Source organism: Homo sapiens, chromosome 19, assembly GCF_000001405.40.
Source record: "Homo sapiens chromosome 19, GRCh38.p14 Primary Assembly".
In the NCBI taxonomy this organism is placed as follows: Eukaryota; Metazoa; Chordata; class Mammalia; order Primates; family Hominidae; genus Homo; species Homo sapiens.
The window spans coordinates 50880901-50900524 of record NC_000019.10 but is presented as its reverse complement, the minus strand read 5'-3'; the positions used below and the strand labels follow the sequence as shown (position 1 = coordinate 50900524).

The 19624-nt window shown below is 47.0% G+C and overlaps 1 pseudogene across 1 annotated transcript, besides 4 other annotated features; it reads left to right on the top strand.

The window, feature by feature from the left end:
* Positions 3458-3587: an enhancer, noted in NCBI's record as "active region_15007". NCBI's record gives its function as "activates an Ori minimal core promoter by ATAC-STARR-seq in GM12878 lymphoblastoid cells {active_cell/tissue: GM12878}" and the evidence as "EXISTENCE:reporter gene assay evidence [ECO:0000049][PMID:35858748]".
* Positions 3618-3997: an enhancer, noted in NCBI's record as "active region_15006". NCBI's record gives its function as "activates an Ori minimal core promoter by ATAC-STARR-seq in GM12878 lymphoblastoid cells {active_cell/tissue: GM12878}" and the evidence as "EXISTENCE:reporter gene assay evidence [ECO:0000049][PMID:35858748]".
* Positions 4127-18429, top strand: KLKP1 (kallikrein pseudogene 1; annotated as a pseudogene). Its single transcript, NR_002948.1, has 5 exons — positions 4127-4198; positions 4833-4934; positions 5257-5462; positions 12651-12806; positions 17841-18429. The product of NR_002948.1 is annotated as a kallikrein pseudogene 1 (transcript).
* Positions 9225-9334: an enhancer, noted in NCBI's record as "active region_15005". NCBI's record gives its function as "activates an Ori minimal core promoter by ATAC-STARR-seq in GM12878 lymphoblastoid cells {active_cell/tissue: GM12878}" and the evidence as "EXISTENCE:reporter gene assay evidence [ECO:0000049][PMID:35858748]".
* Positions 9405-9454: an enhancer, noted in NCBI's record as "active region_15004". NCBI's record gives its function as "activates an Ori minimal core promoter by ATAC-STARR-seq in GM12878 lymphoblastoid cells {active_cell/tissue: GM12878}" and the evidence as "EXISTENCE:reporter gene assay evidence [ECO:0000049][PMID:35858748]".

The window sequence follows — 19624 nt, the reverse complement described above, 5'->3', positions numbered from 1 at the left end:
ACAGGGAGCAGGCAGGAGTCCCCAGTGGTAGGAAGGGAAGACCTCTCTCTCTGTGTTATACTGACAACTAGACCAAACGACTTTTCATGATTATCCAGACAATGTTTTATAAAGGTCAGGTAGGAGACTGGCAGGACTTGTTTTCTGGTCACAACCCTGCTGACCAAAACAAGTCCAGGCAGGATAAAATTCAAAAAAAACAAAAAAACAAAAAAAAAGGCTGGGTGTGGTGGCTCACGCCTGTAATCCCAGCACTTTGGGAAGCCGAGGCAGGTAGATCACGAGGTCAGGAGATCGAGACCATCCTAGCTAACACGGTGAAACTCCATCTCTACTAAAAAACAAAAAATTAGCCAGGCGTGGTGGCAGGCGCCTGTAGTCCCAGCTACTCGGGAGGCTGAGGCAGGAGAATGGTGTAAACCCGGGAGGTGGAGCTCGCAGTGAGCCGAGATTGTGCCACTGCACTCCAGCCTGGGCGACAGAGCAAGACTCCATCTTAAAAAAAAAAAAAAAAAAAAAAAAAAAAAAAAAACCAGCAGGAATGACCAGATGAAGACAAAAGTGATCCCTATCTGCTCTCATTGCTCATTGGTATAGAACACCCTCACCAGTGTCATGGCATTTATAAACTGTCATGGCAATGACCTGAAAGTTACTTCCCCTTTCCATGGCAATGACCCAGAAGTTACCTCCCCTTTCCATGGCAGTGACCCGGAAGTTACTGCTCCTTTCCATGCCAATGACCTGGAAGTTACTGCTCTTTTCCTAGAAAGTTCTAAATAAATGACCCCTCAATTTACATTGACCCATTACTTAATTTGCATGTAATTGAAAGTGGATTTACATGAGTATAAATATAGTTGCCAAGAGCCCATAGGTGGCTGACTCTGGGCACATTGCCTATGAGTTAGCCCTGCTTCGCAAGGAGCAGCACCATTCAACGAAAATTGCTGTCTCACACTACCAGCACCCTTGAATCCTTTCCTAAGTGAAGCCAAGAACCCTCCTTGGCTAAACCCCAATTTCAGGGCTAAACTGTACTGCAATGAAGTGACAGTCTCTTGTGATCTACATAAAAAAATCTTAACTCCAAAATGAGGACCTCAGTCACCAAATTCAGATTCTAGACTTTGAGCTTCATCTTCCTGGAGATCAGACTTGTGGTCCAAGCTCTAGATATCAGACCAGTCTTTGGACTCTAGAACCAAGACTTCCATTTCTGGATTCCATTTTCCAGGTTCCAGTTTAATCAGAAGTAAACAAATCACCCCTGCAGGCCAAATCCAGCTGCTGTGTGTTTTTGTAAATAACATTTTGTTGGAACATACATTAATTCCTTCTTGTGTTGTCTATGACTGCTTTTATGCTGGGACAGCAGAAATGAGCAATTACAGCACAGACTGTCTGGCCCACAAAGCCTAACATAATTACTTTCTGGACTTCTACAGAAATAGTTTGCTGATGTCTCGTCTAGATTCCAGATGCTTCACTCCAAACCCCAAAATCCCAGAATTCAGATTCCAAGCTCTAGATTCCACAGCACAAACTGGAGATTCTGGAGGTTGACTCCAGACCTCAGACCCAGCCTCCAAACTCCATTCCTCTGCTCTAGATTCCCAACCCCAGACCCCTGACAAGACCCCAACCACCCTCTAGAGACTAAGAGATCTCTCCAGTGAGAGATCTACTGAAAGAGACAGGAAAAAGTGATGGAGAGAGTGTCAGCCACAGAGAGACAGATATAAACAGAGAGAGAGAGTGTGTGTGTGTTAGTTGTCTGTCTCAAAGACAGAAACAGCCAGAGAGGCAGTACCCTGACCGAGAAGCTCAACTGAGAAATACAGTGATAGAAAGAGTTTGTGGCCATCCATTCATTCTCATTTATTCAGTAAGTACTTATCAGGTACCTACTATGTGCTAGGCAGGGTTTTAGGGGCTTTGGATAAACCAGTGAACAAAACTGGCAAAGATCCTTGTTCTTGTTGTAGCTGAAAGATACAAACAATAGAAAATACATCCAATAAAATAAATAACAAATTAGATATACATTTATATGTGTTAACATAATATTGTAAATTAGTACAAATCATATATAATAAGTTAAATAATAAGGAAGATTGGGGAGAGGGAAGTTTGCAGTGTTAAAGCAGTGACAGACGTTCCATAAACTGGCGAGTGGACAGATAAACCATGGTGCATCCATACAATGGAATCCTATTCAGCAGTAAAAATGGAATAAACTGCTGATAGCTGTGTGACCTTCGGCAAGTTACTTAACCTCTCTGATACTTAACTCTGTGAAATGGGGCTAATAATCAAATCTTCCAGGTAAGGTTCCTATGAAAGTGAATTACTGCATGTCAAGTGCTTAGAACAATGCCTGGGCACAGAGGCTGTAGGCTGTGTCTGCTGTCAACACCTGTATTTCCGTCTCCATACCTTTCAGACTCACTGACCCTGAGAACTCTTTGTGCCTGTGTTTCCATCTTCCCCATCCTAGCTTTCTGACTCTGTCTCCCCCAGCCTCCATCTTGGTGTCTCTGTATCAGTGTCTCTGTGTCTCTATCCCTATCTAACTTTCTCTGTTTCTGTCACTGACTTTCTTTGCCTTTCTTGCACTCTGAGTTTCCATCTCTCCAGCTCCCCATCACTCCCTCTCATTCCAGATGTTGCTAACACTGACTTCTCCCAGAGACCACTGGACAGTGGGACATTTTTGGTTGCTATGACTTGGCAAGGAGGGTGCTACTGGCATCTAGTGGGCAGAGGGCAGGGATGCTGCGTAATATCCTACAGCACACAGGGCAGTGCCCACAACAAAGAATGATTCAATCAGAAGTGTCAGTAGCGGCCAGGTTGAGAAATTCTGCCCTAGGTTATGGTTTCAGGGTCTCACCGCCTAAGGTGGAGAGGATCCCTTATGGCTGTTGCTGCCCAGAGATTCTGTGGGAGGGTGGAGAAGGGAGACGGCTAAAGAATCCCAGAATCCCCTCCCCACCAGGTGCCAACCTGATGACCACAGCAGAAACCCCCTGCACCAGGCTCCTGGGATATGTCGTCCACAATGTCACAGGTGTGTGTGTTGTGTGTGTGTGGTGGGAGAGTGGTGTAAGTGTGTGTGTCTTAGTCTTCTCTGGCTCCCATAACAACATAACACAGACAGGTGGCTTCCACAACAGAAATTTATTTCTCACCATTCTGGAGACCGGAAAGTCCAAGTCTGAGGTTTAGCAGGTTTCAATTCTCTCTCCCTCTTTTCCTCTTCATATTAGGGCACTTAATTTCATCATGAAGGCCCCACCCTCACAACCTCAGCTAACCCTCCTCACCTCCCAAGGGTCCCAGCCCCAAATGCCACTATCTTGGGGCTTAGCACTTTGACATATAAGTCTGGAGAGGGGGGGACACAATTTGGTCCATGGCTTTGCGTGTGTGATGTGTATGTCCCAAAGTGTCACCGTCTTCAAGCAGACAGGGTTGCTTCTAAGTTTACATGCCCGTATGACGTGTGTATGGGGGTGCTTGTGTGGCTGTACTTGTGTGATTTTTGTGTATTGGGGTGAATAGGCATTTCCATTCATCCGAGGCTGTTTCTGGATTATGATATCACTGTAATTTACCATGTGACTGGATCTTTGTGGTTGTACCTATCTGGTTCAGTGTCATGTGCTGTGTGTATCATGGTGTGACCACATTGTATGAGTCACCCTGCAGCTTTGCAAGAGTGTGTGTAGCCAAGCGTGATGTCACATGGGAGGTTGTGTCCTGTGCCTGTCACCTGGTCCTGTGTCCCTGAGCCTGACTCCAGGGTTCTGACATGTAGCTGCATGTTTAGTCATGCCCTGCTCACTGGGGCCTTGGGAGGCCTTATGGGACAGTGGTTAAGGAAATAGGCTGTGGAGTTGCCCTGCCTGGGTTCAAAGCCCTGCCCTGCCATTTATTAGCTGGGAGACCCTGTAATCCCAGCACTTAGGGAGGCTGAGGTGGGTGGATCATGAGGTCAGGAGAGCGAGACAATCCTGGCTAACACAGTGAAGCCCTGTCTCTACTAAAAATACAAAAAATTAGCTGGGTGCGATGGCAGGCACCTGTAGTCCCAGCTACTCAGGAGGCTGAAGCAGGAGAATCGCTTGAACCCAGGAGGTAGAGGTTGCAGTGAGCCAGGACTGCGCCACCACACTCCAGCCTGGGCGACAGAGTGAGACTCCATCTCAAAGAAAAGAAAAGAAAAGAAAAGAAAAGAAAAGAAACTGTGTGTCTGAGGATGGTGTAAGAGGAGGTATCGGAGGGACAGACCAGGGGCCTGGAGTTTAGAACGGACATGTCCTGGCTGGGCACGGTGGCTCAAGCCTGTAATCCCAGCACTTTGGGAGGCCAAGGCGGGTGGATCATAAGGTCAGGAGATGGAGACCATCCTGGCTAACATGGTGAAATCCCATCTCTATTAAAAATACAAAAACTTAGCCAGGCATCAGGCATGGTGGCAGGCGCCTGTAGTCCCAGCTACTCAGGAGGCTGAGGCAGGAGAATGGCGTGAACCCGGGAGGCGGAGCTTGCAGTGAGCCGAGATCACGCCACTGCACTCCAGCCTGGGTGACAGAGCAAGACTCTGTCTCCAAAAAAAAAAAAAAAAAAAAAAAAGAACTGACATGTCCTTTAGCCTCATCATGCCCCAGCCCAAAAAGCAGACCTGGATACCCTGCCCATGTTTTCCCCCCTGTATTAGTCAGGATTCTCTAGAGGGGCAGAACTCATAGGATTGATGTATATAAAAAGGGGAGTTTATTAAGGATAAGCGACTCACATGATCACAAGGTGAGGTCTCACAATAGGCTGTCGGCAAGCTGAGGAGCAAAGATGCCAGTCCAAGTCCCAAAGCTGAAGAACTTGGATTCCAATGTCGAGGTCAGGAAGCATCCAGCAGGGGAAAACGTGTAAGTTGGGAGGCTAAACCAGTCTAGTCTTTCCACGTTCTTCTGCCTGCTTTTATTCTGGCCACGCTGGCAGCTGATTAGATGGTGCCCACCCAGATTGAGGGTGGGTCTGCCTTTCCCAGTCCACTAAGTAAAATCTTAATCTCCTTTGGCAACACCCTCACAGACACCCCCAGGGAACAGTACTTTCCATCCTTCAATCCAATCAAGTTGATGCTTGATATTAACCATCACACCCCTCAATACAACCCACACCTTCCTAATCCTAACCCTGACCCTCGACTCTGAACCCCTCCACTTTGTGTCCTGATTCCATCCCCAGGAGCTGTGATTCCCCCTGAAGGATCCCAGACTCCATTCCCAAGCACTTTCTCCAGTGCCAGCAAAGTCCTCATTGGTGGCAACAGGAATACAGTCTGCACTTGCAGCCCTGGCAGGCAGCCAGCACCGTCAGTGGAAAACTTTAAGACGCTGGGGCATCTTAGAGCATCCACAGTGGGTGCTGTCGGCTGCACACTGCCTCCAGAAGTGAGTGCTGGGTGGGTCTGGGGCAGAGCGCCAGCTAAGAGGCAAGCGCTGGCTGGAGGAGAGTTTGAGTGAAGGAGAGTCCCAGGCCAGGGGTGGCAGGCTAGCAGGGATGGGGCCTTATGCATGATGGGGCTTAAGAAGAGGGCAGAGCCTTGGTCAGAGATGATGCTCTCGGTTCACTGCAACTTTCACATCCTGGGTTCAAGCGATTCTCCTGCCTCAGCCACCAGAGTAGCTGTGATTACAGGTGTGCACCATCATGCCCAGCTAATTTTTGTGCAAAGGGCCTGGGGCACAGGTGGAGTTGAGCAGGGGTGGGGTTGAGCAGGATTACGGCTTTGGGATGGGTGGAGCCTGATAAGGGGTGGGGCTTGAGCAGAGGGCAGCGCCTTGGTCAGAAGCTTGCACAGAGGAAAGGGCTTGGGCTAGGGGCAGGGCTTGAGCAGGGATAAGACTTTAGGAGGGGTGGGGCTTGAGCATGGGCCAGGGCTTACCTTGGTGTAAGGTCTGGCTAGGAGCTCAATATTGGTGGAGTGAGCTTTAGATGATTTTGCTAGGTCTGAATGAGAAGCAGAGCCTCCATGGAGTCAGGGAGACTAGGTTATCTCAGAACCCTGGGTTTGAGCCAACTGTGGAAGCTTCGGAAGGAAAGGATAACCTGAGAGACGTAGGTGTTCCAAGAAAAGGGGAGGAGATGCAGGAGAAAGACCTAGTCAGCCCTGGGTGTGAATCCCAGCTCAGCCTCTGGGTAACTAGGTAATGTTGGCAGGTGACTTCCATTTTCTTTTTTGTTGTTGTTGGCGGGGGCCCTTTTTGACCTTTTGTTTTGACCTTTTTTCTGATGCTTCTTGACTCTATATCTCCTGGTTTTCTGCACACATCCCCTGTTTTCTTTCCTTTTTTTTTTTTTTTTTTTTTTTTTTTTTTTTTTTTTTTGACAGAGTCTCCCTCTGTTGCCCAGGCTGGAGTGCAGTGACGTGATCTCAGCTCACTGCAACCTCCGCCTCCTGGGTTCAAGTGATTCTCCAGCCTCAGCCTCCCCAGGAAGCTGGGAGTACAGGCGCGCACCACCATGCCCAGCTAATTTTTGTATTTTTAGTAGATACGGGGTTTCACTATGTTGGCCAGGCTGGTCTTGAACTCCTGACCTCAGGTGATCCACCCGCCTTGGCCTCCCAAAGTTCTGGAATTACAGGCGTGAGCCACCGCGCCTGGCCGTAAGTTCCATTTTCTGGGCGTTCCTTTTCATCAGCTCTCAAGGGCAGGAGATGGTGACAAAGTTAGGGATGAGGATGGTGTTGGGATGGATTGTGGTGGAGACAGGGGTGTAGCTGAGGGCAGGGTCTAGGATGCAACAAATCAACATTTGCCCTGGATGTGCAGTTTAGGGGAACAGCCAACAACATTAGTAACCAAGATCAAGATTTTAGGATCATTTGCGCCTCCGCCCTCCAAACATGCACACACTAAGGTGTCCATCAGGTGCCCTGGGTAGTCCATGTTACCAGATGTGTCTGAAATTATGCTGATGTTGGCACAATACAATTATCAAGGAGACCCACCAGGGAAGACCGTGAACTTGAGAAGGACCCATACATTCAGGACCCTGCCCCTCTTCCCAAAAGCCATGTATTTCAGGTTTCATAGACTGGACACATCTGGCTTTTCTCAAGCATCTTGTGACCCAAGCCTCCCTGTGGTCCTAGGCTCCTCCCTATGGACACAAAGCCTAAGTCAGCCACCATGTTGGACACACCCACAAGGGGGCAGACGTGGGCAGTGCCATGTGATACATGTGACTGGAGAGGCGCACGGGTGATGGTGGGCTAGTTGCGCCGAAGTGACGCCATAGTGGTGCGCCGGGATCCTCATAGTGCTGATGATGTCAGAAGATGCGCCAAACGCCCTTCAGCTGTTTAGAACCAGCGCGCTTGCGCAGTTCCTGCTCGTCGGGCTCCTGCTGGCCCAGCAACTATAGGGAGCTAGCAGGCCAGTGGTTACCCACAAGCTGAGTGTGGAGTAGACAGAAAGACCCAAATGTTAGCAATCTGGGATCCCCAAGCCCTGTGATAATCTGAAATTCCACTTACCACCTCCTGAGGCCCTGGTACCAATGGCCCCTACTCCTGCCTCTCAGATAGCTAAGAGTTCCAATGTGTGGGCACACACCCATTGGGCTGTAGTCCCCAAGCTCCAGTACTTTTGTCCTCAGAGGAGTCAAGGACTCTCTCCCCAACCCATTAAAATACAGGAGTCCAGAATCCCAACATTTTCCTTCTCCAAGACCTTGGACTCCCGGCTTTCAGCCTTCTCCAACTCCAGGTACAGAACCCATGGGTTCCTACTCCCAGCCACGTTTTTCAGGACCCTGACCCCTGCCTTCTTACCAGGTTTGGTAGTGGGCCTCAGAGAGCTCACAGCGGGGGACAGTGCATGAAGGACCACAGTTAAAATGTCCACATTCAAAGAAAATCACTTGCCAAGATTGGGAGCAGAGCATACACTCCTCAGTTCCCAGGACCTAGTCACCGTCCTAGGCCTCTGGGATGGGAGTAGAGGATCCATGAGGACAGGGTCCTTCTCACCTCCTATTCCCTGACTGTGCCCTTATCTACCTACATATTCTTCACTTATGCCTTCCCCTCAGTTTCTCCAGGAGCCTCTGATATGTTTTTAAAATACTGTTTTCTCTCTAGCTTTAAAAAACTTTTGCCTCTTTTCCCTGGAACTGTATCCTTTTTTGTTCCCACCACCCATCTCATGTGTTATAGGTTCCCAAAAGAGAGAGAAAGGGGAAAAGACCAGAGGGCAAGAAGTTCTCTGTGGTTGGGGATGAAGATAAGGTCACTGGATACAGTGAGTTCAGACAAGTGGTCACTTGGAGCCAGTCATTCAGGCTCATTCATCTGTCACAGATATTAAATGGATGTGACACTCAGTATGTATGACACACAAATTTGGTCCCAGAGTTTGGGTATCTCGGCCAAACTCAGGGTCATACAAGGGCACAGATGTGGCCATACTAGATTGTGGACCTACATATATGCACAACCAGACTTTCAAACTTAGGTATTGGTAGGTACAGCATTTACAGCTTACCTTCACGTAACATATAAATAGATCTCAGCTTCGAGGGTCACTATATGGACATTGATATTTGTATGTAAGTGTGGACAGTTAAGACATGGGTGTGGCTAGGCACAGTGGCTCACGCCTGTAATGCCAGTACTTTGGGAGGCCAACGTGGGTGGATGACCTCAGATTGGGAGTTCAAGACCAGCCTGACCAACATGGAGAAACCCCTTCTCTACTAAAAATACAAAATTAGCCAGGCATGGTGGCACATGCCTGTAATCCCAGCTACTCGGGAGGCTGACACAGGAGAATAGCTTGAACCAGGGAGGCAGAGGTTGACTTGAGCCAAGATCATGCCATTGCACTTCAGCCTGGGCAACAAGAGCAAAACTCTGTCTCAAAAAAAAAAGACATAGGTGTATGTGTGCATACACACGCGCACACACGCGCACACACACACACACACAGAGCTTTGGACATAGAAGCTTGGACCAAAATCTACACTCCACTGTAGGTCTGGATACCCAGTGTTCCAGTTGCACACACTTGCACACAAGGTCTGAACGTACAAGGTGGGGGCCTTAGTAAAGGTACACAGGAGAGAGACACTGATATGCAGTGTTGGGTTTGACTTTGAGGGGACATATCCTGAGTAGCCCCTCCAAAAGCAATTCACAGACATGGGTCTATAGTATGGTGGTTGTATCCAAAAGTATGACCACCTGGGATCAAACATATTATTTCTGAATCTTTGAGAAAATTATTTGACCTCAATGTCTTTCCATTTCCTCATTTGTTCATGGGGGTTTCCTTAAGACTTAAATAGAAAAATGTGTCTTTGTGTGTATGCCTGTGTGTGGGTGTGCATGATAATGCCTGGCACACAGTAACTGTAATGCATAGTAATAAATATCAGTTATTTTAATCAAGGACACATGACTTAGTTATGGTACATACGTGTGCACGTTCAGATTTTGAAAACAAATATAGCCAAAATCAGACATATGTGCAGACCCAGATAAAGTTAGTCAAAGCTAATACTGTGATTCATCCATAAAACCACTTAGTGGTGATTCAGAGTTGCAGACACCAACCCCAAGGGCCAGACATTCAAATACAGCTTCATAGGTTAGATTCCTGGCTACTCCCAGACACAGAGTTGGGCATTTATGGGGAAAGACATATTCTGGAGACACAGGCAGCTGGGACAGGAAAGATTTATCTGTCTCTAGATCACCCCCCAAGTCAGACACTTGGTGTTGAAGGTTACTCATCAGTTTTCCCATATGGGGACATGGCTCACATGTGTGGGCAGGTAGTGGACAGCAGGGCCTTGCACACCCACCACATACACATGTGCATGCACATACACACACACACAACACACACACACGCACACAGAACTGCACTACGCACAAGTACCAAACAAGGACTTTTCACAGTCAGAAGACCCTGAGCCTCTACACTGGGAAACGTGGATATGTCCCCTCAAAGTCAAATCCACACATAAACAGACAGCAACAATAGGGCACATCCAGATCAGATCCCCATATTTTTCCTGCCATCTTTGGGAACTGGGCCTGGCACACTGGTGAGGCTAGGGTAACAGATGTGGCAGACAAGGGGTATAAGGAAGAAAGTATAAGTTTGTTTTGCAGGGAAGGTTAGAGAATTTAAATTATGATTCTGAGAGAAAATTCTCCATGGGCCTCTCATGTTTCTACATGGCTTCAAAGTGAAAAAAAAATTGCTTTGGACTATCAAGGATGTTTGGCTAGCAAGCCATCTTGCAAATGGTATTTTCAACAAAACAGCTTTGCTTACCGACCAGTGTAATAATGTGTCCCTTAAAGCAGATTTGTTTAGTGTTCAGTACAATAAATATAGTATGTTCCTCCAGAGCAGGTCTGTTTGTGGTCGGGATAACGAAGAATGTGTCTCCCTCTCGGACAAATATTAATAGTCCCTTCATACGATTCAGGATTCCTAAGCTCAGGTTTCTCAGCTGTGGGTCAAAGCATCGTGTCACAGGATCCTCCTAAACTTCTCTGATCATTCCTGTGGGACTTAGGGTCAAGGCGAACTGATGTGAACACAAAGCTCATGCTGTCTTCTGTGCTGTGAGTAATAAAGTCCTTTGCCTTTGATCCAGAATCCAGTGTGTTCTGCCAGTATCCATAAAACTGTGGCAGGCTAACTTATTTGTTTGCCAGTTGGCAAAATATCAGCCCCTTCAGAGTTTTTGACAAACAGTTGGGCACTAAGGCTGCACCTGTCCAGCTGGAGATGGAAGGGTGGGAGGTAGGAGGGGCCCCAGCTGGGCACAGCCACATGACAGAAGAGGGACCAAGGCTAGGTTGAACTTTTTTGAGGGCAGTGTAAGCCAAGCTGAAGTTGAACTTTCTTGGCCCTTGGAGTTAGGAGGGGCCCCAGCTGGGCACAGCAAAATAACAGAAGAGGGAACAAGGCTGAGTTGAACTTTTCTGGGGATAGTGTAAGCCAAGCTGAAGCTGAACCTTCTTGGCTCTAGCTGGATCCTTCCAGATACAAATTCATCCCACCTTTGGCATAATAAATTTCCTTTCGCCATTTGTCTCTCCTCCTCCCCAACATGCTCTTCCTCTTGGGTTCTCCCTCTTGGGAGAGTTCACTGCTTCCTCAGGCACCAGGATAGATGCCAAGTGCCCCACATCCTGCCAGACACTGGCCACATTCTATCTGTCCCCTGGATCTTCATTTTTAAAGCCTCAGGCCACATCCTCTAACTAGACCCTTTCCCCAGTCTCCTGACCATAATCAGAGTCTTCCCACATGTCTTCATTCCAACTTTTGGGATCCCTACCCTTTCAATTATGCCTTCACTTTAATGGCAGACAGCATGCATGCTGAGGATTTAATTAGCACTGTAATTCAGCCACTCACACAATAAGATTCTAGGTTTGATTTTCAGAAATCTCAGCTCTGTGGCTACAGGAGATAAAGGTTTCTTTCAACATCATAGACATAGCAACTTTAGATTATTTCTTCAGTCTGAGATCTGGAAATTTAAAGTCCTGTGCTCATTCTTTTCTTTTTCCACTTTTGCCAACACAACTAGAAGCAATCATCCAATTTCATTATGCTTGTTACTTTAAAAAATATTCTAAAGTGTCATATACATGATCACCCTGGTCATTTCTCCTTTATTTGATTCGGAATATCCAGTGGTGTTATTTTGCATATCTCTATTGCCACATTACACCACGGACTTTTATTTCTGTTTGTATTACTGAAAATAGAGTTGTGGTGCCTTTAATTTATTCGCATTACAGAACCAATTCCAAACACTAGAAATGCCAGAACTAATTCAGAAAGCTCATCCTTAAGACTTCCTTCCTCTAGAACAACTAGTAAAGTTTCTCTCAGACAGGATTTTTAGAGAAACAGAAAAAAAATAAGATACACACACACAAATATACACATGCAAAGAGACAGACAGAGATGGAGACGGAAAGACAAGGACAAGAAGATGGAATCTGAGCTAATGGCAGAGACATGGAACCAGTAGAGAAGAGACCCACTGTCTTCAGAGAGTGCTGACCAGGAAGAGGAGAAGCCTTGGGGACTGGATCAGGTGTCTGTCCCTAGGTCCCCATTCCTGACTCTTCTCCTGCCACCCTGATCTGGGTGTAGCATCATATTAGGTAATTTGGCTGAAAAAACTGCTAACTTGGGAAAATGTCCCCTGTCCATAGGAGCAGGACATCCCAGACTCAAGAAGCTCATAAACCCACAAGCACTCTGTCCTTCATCTCCCCACCACAGCCTCCTAGACAAGACCCCAAATCACCCCACATACTTTGCTCCCAACCCAATGCCTGCTCCAGGCAATCTCATGTCTCCTACCCTAATCCCTGGGGTTTGCCCTGCTCTCAGAGCAAAGTCTCCCCACCAGGAACAGCCACCAACCCAAACCCCAAGGAATGGTCCAGAATCTCAGGCCCTCCTGTGTCCCTGGATCCCCAGCCCTGGTCCTCTGCCCCCTTCAAACCCACAGCCCAGCTCCCTCTCTTAGCCCAGTCCCTGGGCCCTCCTGCCAAGCCTGCCCTCCCTGACCCAGCACTCCCTCTGCAGATGCTGTGATTGCCATCCAGTCCCAGACTGTGGGAGGCTGGGAGTGTGAGAAGCTTTCCCAACCCTGGCAGGGTTGTACCATTTCGGCAACTTCCAGTGCAAGGACGTCCTGCTGCATCCTCACTGGGTGCTCACTACTGCTCACTGCATCACCCGGTGAGTGGGGACCTGGGGTCTGGGGAGGGGTGTCTGTGCCCCACAGGAATAACAGTTGGGCATTTCCCCTCAGATGAGGCTGGGGACAGAGGGAGAGAGACAGGGAAGGTTCTGGTTCAGGTTGCATGAACAGGCATTGGGGACCACCTTCCTGGGGGCTGCCTTGGTCTCTCACCGTATATCTGTCCATCTAGTCTCTCTGTGTCTCTTGGTATATGGCTCTGCTGTGTCTGTGTGGCTGTGTTTCGGCCTTGATCTCCCTCTCTCTTCTCTGTCTCTTGTCTCTGTGTCTCCCCGTCTCTGTTTTTCTCTGCATCTCTCTTGGCCATCTCTGTCATTGTGTATCTCAGCCCCCATCTCTCTGCCCATCTCTCTCTCTCGGCCATCTCTGTCATTGTGTATCTCAGTCCCCATCTCTCTGCCCATCTCTCTCTCTCTCTCGAGTCTCTCTCACCCCTCCCCACACCTCCCCATTGCCATCCTGAGCCTCTGCGGAAAGGAATAGAGGATCCCTGAGAACAGAGACTTCTTCCTATGTGGCCACCCTTCCCAGTGCCCTACAGTACCTACATATGTGAAAACCATTCACATATGCTTTTCCCACAATTTATCCGGAAGTCTTTGGTTTTTGGGGGAGTTAGTTTTGTTTGCTTTTTTGTTTTGTTTTGTTTTGTTTTTGAGACAGTCTTGCTCTGTTGCCCAGGCTGGAGTGCAGTGGTGCAATCTCGGCTCACTACAACCTCTGCCTCCCAGGTTCAAGCGATTCTCCTGCCTCAGCCTCCCGAGTAGCTGGGAGTACAGGCGCATGCCACCACGCCCAGCTAATGTTTTTCGTTTTTTGTTTTTTGTTTTTTGTTTTTTTAGTACAGACCGGGTTTCACCATGTTAGCCAGGATGGTCTCGATCTCCTGACCTCGTGATCCGCCTGCCTTGGCCTCCCAGAATGCTGGGATTACAGGAGTGAGCCACTGTGCCCAGCCTCTGTTATTTTTGAAGCACTCTCCTCTCTTTAGGTTTTACAGCTGCAGCCTGTTTTTCCAGAACTTCTCCTTTCATCTCCTATCCTACATGTGATAGGTTCCTGAGAGCCAGAGAGAGACAGACAGAAGGGAAATGAAGGACCAGAGGGCAAAATTCCCTCTGTGATTGGAGATGGAGACAGGTTCACTGGATACAGGTTTAGACAGACGGTTGCTTTCATATGTCAGAGACCTCAAACAGACGTGTCCATTCAATTTGTACGGTAGCATTCTTGGCCTCAGAATCTGGAGATCTAAGCCAAACTCAGCATGCCAGGGAAGGACACATATGTGACCACACAAGGTCATGGACATACATACAGGCACAAGATGGTTTCCAGGCTTGGATACATATATAGACTGTGTGCCTTAAGCAGAAATTCATATGCATGTACGTGTGGCTTATATAATAAGAGCCCAAGTGATCACATGTGCATATAAATATGGACAGGCATGGGTGTAAGCACACACATACACATTCATAGACACAGATTTGGACATAAGAGCTCAAACCTAAATTCATAACCTCCAGTGTGGCTCTGGGTGTGCAAGGTCACGTGGGTACACACTTGCACACAGGGTCTGGATGTACAAGGTTGGGTCTTTAATAAGATTACAAAGGGAAGAGACAGGGATATGCACTCAGAGTCCCAGACACTGATTCACAGACATGAGTATGGTGGTTATATCCAGAGTCTGACCACCTGCATTCAAAAATATCAGCTTTGAGACTTTGAGAAAATTCTTTGATCTCACTGTGCCTCCATTTCGTCTGTAAATTGGAGGTTGCTGTAAAGGTTAGATGGGTGGGAGATACATAGCATCTGTGGATATTCAGATTTGAGAAACAAATATGGCCGAAGTAATTCAGACATAATCACAGGACCGGATATGACAGTCAAGGTCAACACTGCGATTCATGCAGAAGCCAGTGTGCGGTGATTCAAAGTTGCAGGCGCAGTCCCAGAGGCCAGGCATTCGGATATGGACCCACTAGAGCAGATGCCAGGGTAGTACCCAGACACACGGTTGGCCATTCAAGGTCAAAGGTGTAGCTAGAGACACAGGCAGCCAGGAAAGGAAATAATCTACGTCTGGATCAGTGCCCACATCAGAGATACTTGGTATTGAAGGTGACTCATCAGGTTTTGCATTTGAGGACAAATGCACACATATGGGCAGGTAGTGGACAGACAGAGCCTCACACTCCCACCACCCATGTACATGCACACACAGAGCTTCACTATGCACAGATACCAAACAGAGACATTTCAAAGTCAAAGGACCTTCAAAGTCAAAGTCACACACACATATGCACCGAAGAGTAGGGCAGGGTTTGCTCATCCCGATTGAATTACTGTTGTTATATCTACCATGGGCATAAACAGGGCCCAGAACACTGGGAGAACTGGAGGAACGTGCAGTGAGTGAGAGGTGGAAGGGAAGAAAGGGGGGGCTCTCCAGCAGAGAAGGGTGGAGGCCAGGAGCTGAGTAGTGAGTGACAAATTTCCACGAGTCTCTTACATTTCTATATGTATTTTGAGCAAAGGTACTAACATTATCTTACTCGATAATATCTATCAAGGATGTCTGGCTAACAAGCAGTCTTTCAAGTTGGTATCTCCATCAGAGCAGGTTTGCTGACTGTCCAGGATAATAAAAATAATGTCTTCCCAGAATGGACTAGTTTACTGTCCAGGACAATAAATATAATATGCCCCTGTGCAGCAATTCTGTTTGTGGTTCAGGGTAATAAAAATAATATCACCACCAAAGACAAAGATTCAAGGCTGAGGTGGGAGGATCGGTGGAAGTCAGGAGTTCAAGACCAGCCTAGGCATCAATGCAAGACTCCCTCTCTACAAAATAAGTATATACATACCTACATACATTAGCCAGGTGTGGTGGTGCAAGCCTGTAGTCCCAGCTACTCATAAGGCTGAGGTGGGAGAACTGCTTGAGTCTAGGAGTTTGAGGCTGCAGTGGACTATGATCCCACCACTCCCTTCCAACCTGGGAGAGAGTGAGACATTGTCTCTTTAAAAAGCAAAAGGCAAATGCTGGGCAGGTTTGCTAGTGCCCACTTATAAGACTGAGGATTCTGAAACTCAGGACCCTCTGCAGTGGCATAAACCACTTTGAGTGCAAAATCCACCTGGACTGCTCTGGTCACCCTATAGGACTCGGGCAAGATGAACCCATATGAACATGAACCTCACGCTGCCTGCTGTGTCAAGTAATCAAGTCCTTTGTCTCTGGCCAGGTTCTGGTGTGTTCTGCCAATACCCGTGAAGGTGTGGCAGGCCAACTTTTTTGTCTCTAAGTTGGTAAAATGTCAGCCCCTCAGAGTTCTTGACAAACACGTGGGCACTGAGGTTGCACCTGCACAACTGGAGATGGAGATAGGACGGGATTCAGCTGGGTGCAGCCACATGATAAAGGAAGGACCGGGGCTTGGTGTAACCCCTGATCCCTCCTTTGTGGGGAGTGTAAACCAGGACAAAGCTGAACCTTCCTGGCCCCACCTGAATCTCTCCAGATACAAATTCATCCCAACAGCTATGTAAAAAAACTTCCTTTTACCACCCTTGTGTTTTCTCCTGCCCAACATGTTCTTCCTCTTCGTTTTCATATCTCACATCTCCGATGATCTATTGTTCCCTCAGACACCAGGTCAGACCCCTGGGTGCCCCACAGCCCATCAGACGCTAGCCACATCCCACCTAGCCCCTAGATCTTCTCCAGTCCCAAAGAACTCACCTCCAGCCACACCCTCTATCTGGACCCACTCCCAGACTCCCACTCTGAATCCCAGCTTCCAGTCCAACCTCCCATGGACTCAGAGAGCAATTTAAGCCTAATGCAAACCTAAGAAAATAAATAATAAAAATTATGGCAGAAATTGGCGAAATTAAAAACAACCTATAGAGAAAATCAACTAAAACAACTGTTTCTTTTAAAAGATCAATAAAATTGATAATTCTGTAGCCAGGATAACAAAGACAAAAAAAAAAACAGAAGATACATGTTAGTAAGATCAGAAATGACAGTGGATGCATCATCACTGAGACACCAAGAGGATATTCATGGATAATAAAGCCTTGTCAGTAGAGAACGAACTGCTGCTGGTTGCCTTTATTAAGATATTGAGGTGAAACAAAACATTAACCAGGTCAATAGCTGCATATGAGGTACCAGGAGATGTGTTATTTGCTCAAACAATGAAGCCACATGAAGAGCTGTAATGAAATTCACTGCCTGGTTATACTTAGGATAACTCACTATCATCCCCGAAGATCTGTCTGTTTTCAGCATGGGCCAAATAGGTGAACTGGATGTGGATGTAGTGGGAACCACCACTCCTGCGTCCTTCAATCATTGACAGTGTCACCAACCTCTGTAATCCCTGCAGGAACGCAGACTTGCTTTTGGTTTATGATTTCCCTAGGTGTGGAGATACGACGGGATTCAGCTGGGTGCAGCCACATGATAAAGGAAGGACCGGAGCTTGGTGTAACCCCTGATCCCTCCTAGATGGGGCTAGGTGGGGCTAGCCTAGATGGGGCTAAGTCCTAGCGACTTCCACCTGGACTTGTCTGGTGTAACATCCCTCATCCACAGGTCTGGAAGCCCATGTGGAAATTCTGTCACTTTCTCAGCATGCCTGTCCCAGTTATGCATTATTCTGTAATTGGTGAAATACCGGAAGGGTAGGTTCAGAGACCCACGGGACCCATTGTGAGATGGGCCTTGGCCACAACTCCTGACCTCCACCAGGCGCCACACTGATTGTTGGACTACAGTGGTGTTTTGGGTCTCTTGTAATTAGTGTCAGTTAAGAATCAGTGTCCAATAATCTCCAAAACATCTGGTAACTGACTCAAGTTTATGAATTGAACGATGGGCCAGGATTCTTTGCTTTTATGATTCAAATTATACTTCTGTTCACTGGACCCAAGAAGTCTTCTGATTACATAGAAATAATTTAGTCTTTTCCAATCTATTTCTCTTCCAGGAACACTGTGATCAACTAGCCAGCACCATAGTTCTCCGAAGTCAGACTATCATGATTACTGTGTTGACTGTGCTGTCTATTGTACTAACCATGCCGATGTTTAGGTGAAATTAGCGTCACTTGGCCTCAACCATCTTGGTATCCAGTTATCCTCACTGAATTGAGATTTCCTGCTTCAGTGTCAGCCATTCCCACATAATTTCTGACCTACAGAGGTGAGGGATCATATAGCTCTTCAAGGATGCTGGTACTCCCCTCACAAATTCATTTCTCCTGTTGTAGTGAAAGGTGCGCCCTCTGGAGCCTCCCAGGGTGGGTGTGCAGGTCACAATGATGAATGTATGATCGTGTTCCCATTACCCAAAGCCTTTAAATCCCTCATGCTCAGTACACCAGGGCAGGTCTAGCATTTCTTCATTTAGTGTATGCTGTCCATTCATGCAACCACCTCAGGACTCCTGGATTCTCTGCCTAGTTGAGCTCCTGCATGCTGCCTCCTTGGGGAGGTGAGGGAGAGGGCCCATGGTTCAATGGGATCTGTGCAGTTGTAACACATTAGGTGCTTAATAAACAGAAGCTGTGATGTTAACCACGAGGGGATACTGTCTTCCTGTTTGTCTGTGTCTCTCTGTGTGTCTCCAGCTACCTTGTTTTTTCTCTTCCCATTTTGTCATTGTCTATCTCAGATTCTGTTTCCCCTGCTGTCTCTCCGTCTCTGGTTTTCTCTTTGTGTTCCTGTGGCAGTCTCTTTAAAGCCCCATCTCTGTCTTGGATGAAACATAATCCTTGTTCATTACACACACTATTCATTGGTATGAATATGCCATTTATTTCTCCATTCTCCTATAGATAAACATTTTGGGCAGTTTCTGGTTTGAGGATGCTATGAACTTTCTGGTACGAGGATTTTTATGAAAATATGAAGTATTTCTAGGGTTTCTAGGGGGTATATTTCTAAGATTGATACTGATAGGTCATGCATATGTTCAGCTGCAACATATACTTCTAAATCATTTTCTAAAATGAGTATACCAATTTATACTCCCTTAAGCAATGTATGAGAATGTTGCATTGTCTAAAAAAGGCTATTGATACACACTGCCAAACTGTTGGAATGAATTTATATTCTAGTTCTACATTCTTTTCCTTCAATATTTCCGCCATCCTTTCTCTCCAGGGCTTTGTCAATGACATTTTTTGTCAATGACAATACTAGTTTTCTTTTTTGTTTCATAGCCTTTCCTTCTTTCTACTCAATCACACTCTATGGATTCTATTGATCTGAGGTCGTTCAGATATTTTAAATTCTATAAAACTTACCTTCAGGCTGGGTGCGGTGGCTCACGCCTGTAATCAATCCCAGCACTTTGGGAGGCCAAGGCAGGCGGATCACCTGAGGTCAGGAGCTCGTGACCAGCCTGACCAACATGGAGAAGCCCCGTCTCTATTAAAAATGCAAAATTAGCCAGGTGTGGTGGTGTGCACCTGTAATCCCAGCTACTGGGGAGGCTGAAGCAGGAGAATCACTTGAACTGGGAGGCAGGGGTTGCAGTGAGCCGAGACTGAGCCATTGCACTCCAGCCTGGGCGATAAGAGTGAAACTCTGCGAAAAAAAAAAAAAAAAAAAAAACCTGCCTTCAGTGTTTAGTCATGTGTTTCCTCCTTTCCTATTTTTCTCTCTTCCTGAGTCTTTAGTGTTCAGTATCTGCACTGCCAGCACTCACATCATTCAGTATTTCTTTGACATTTTTCTTCAATCTAGTCTAAAATGTCACTATTGCGTT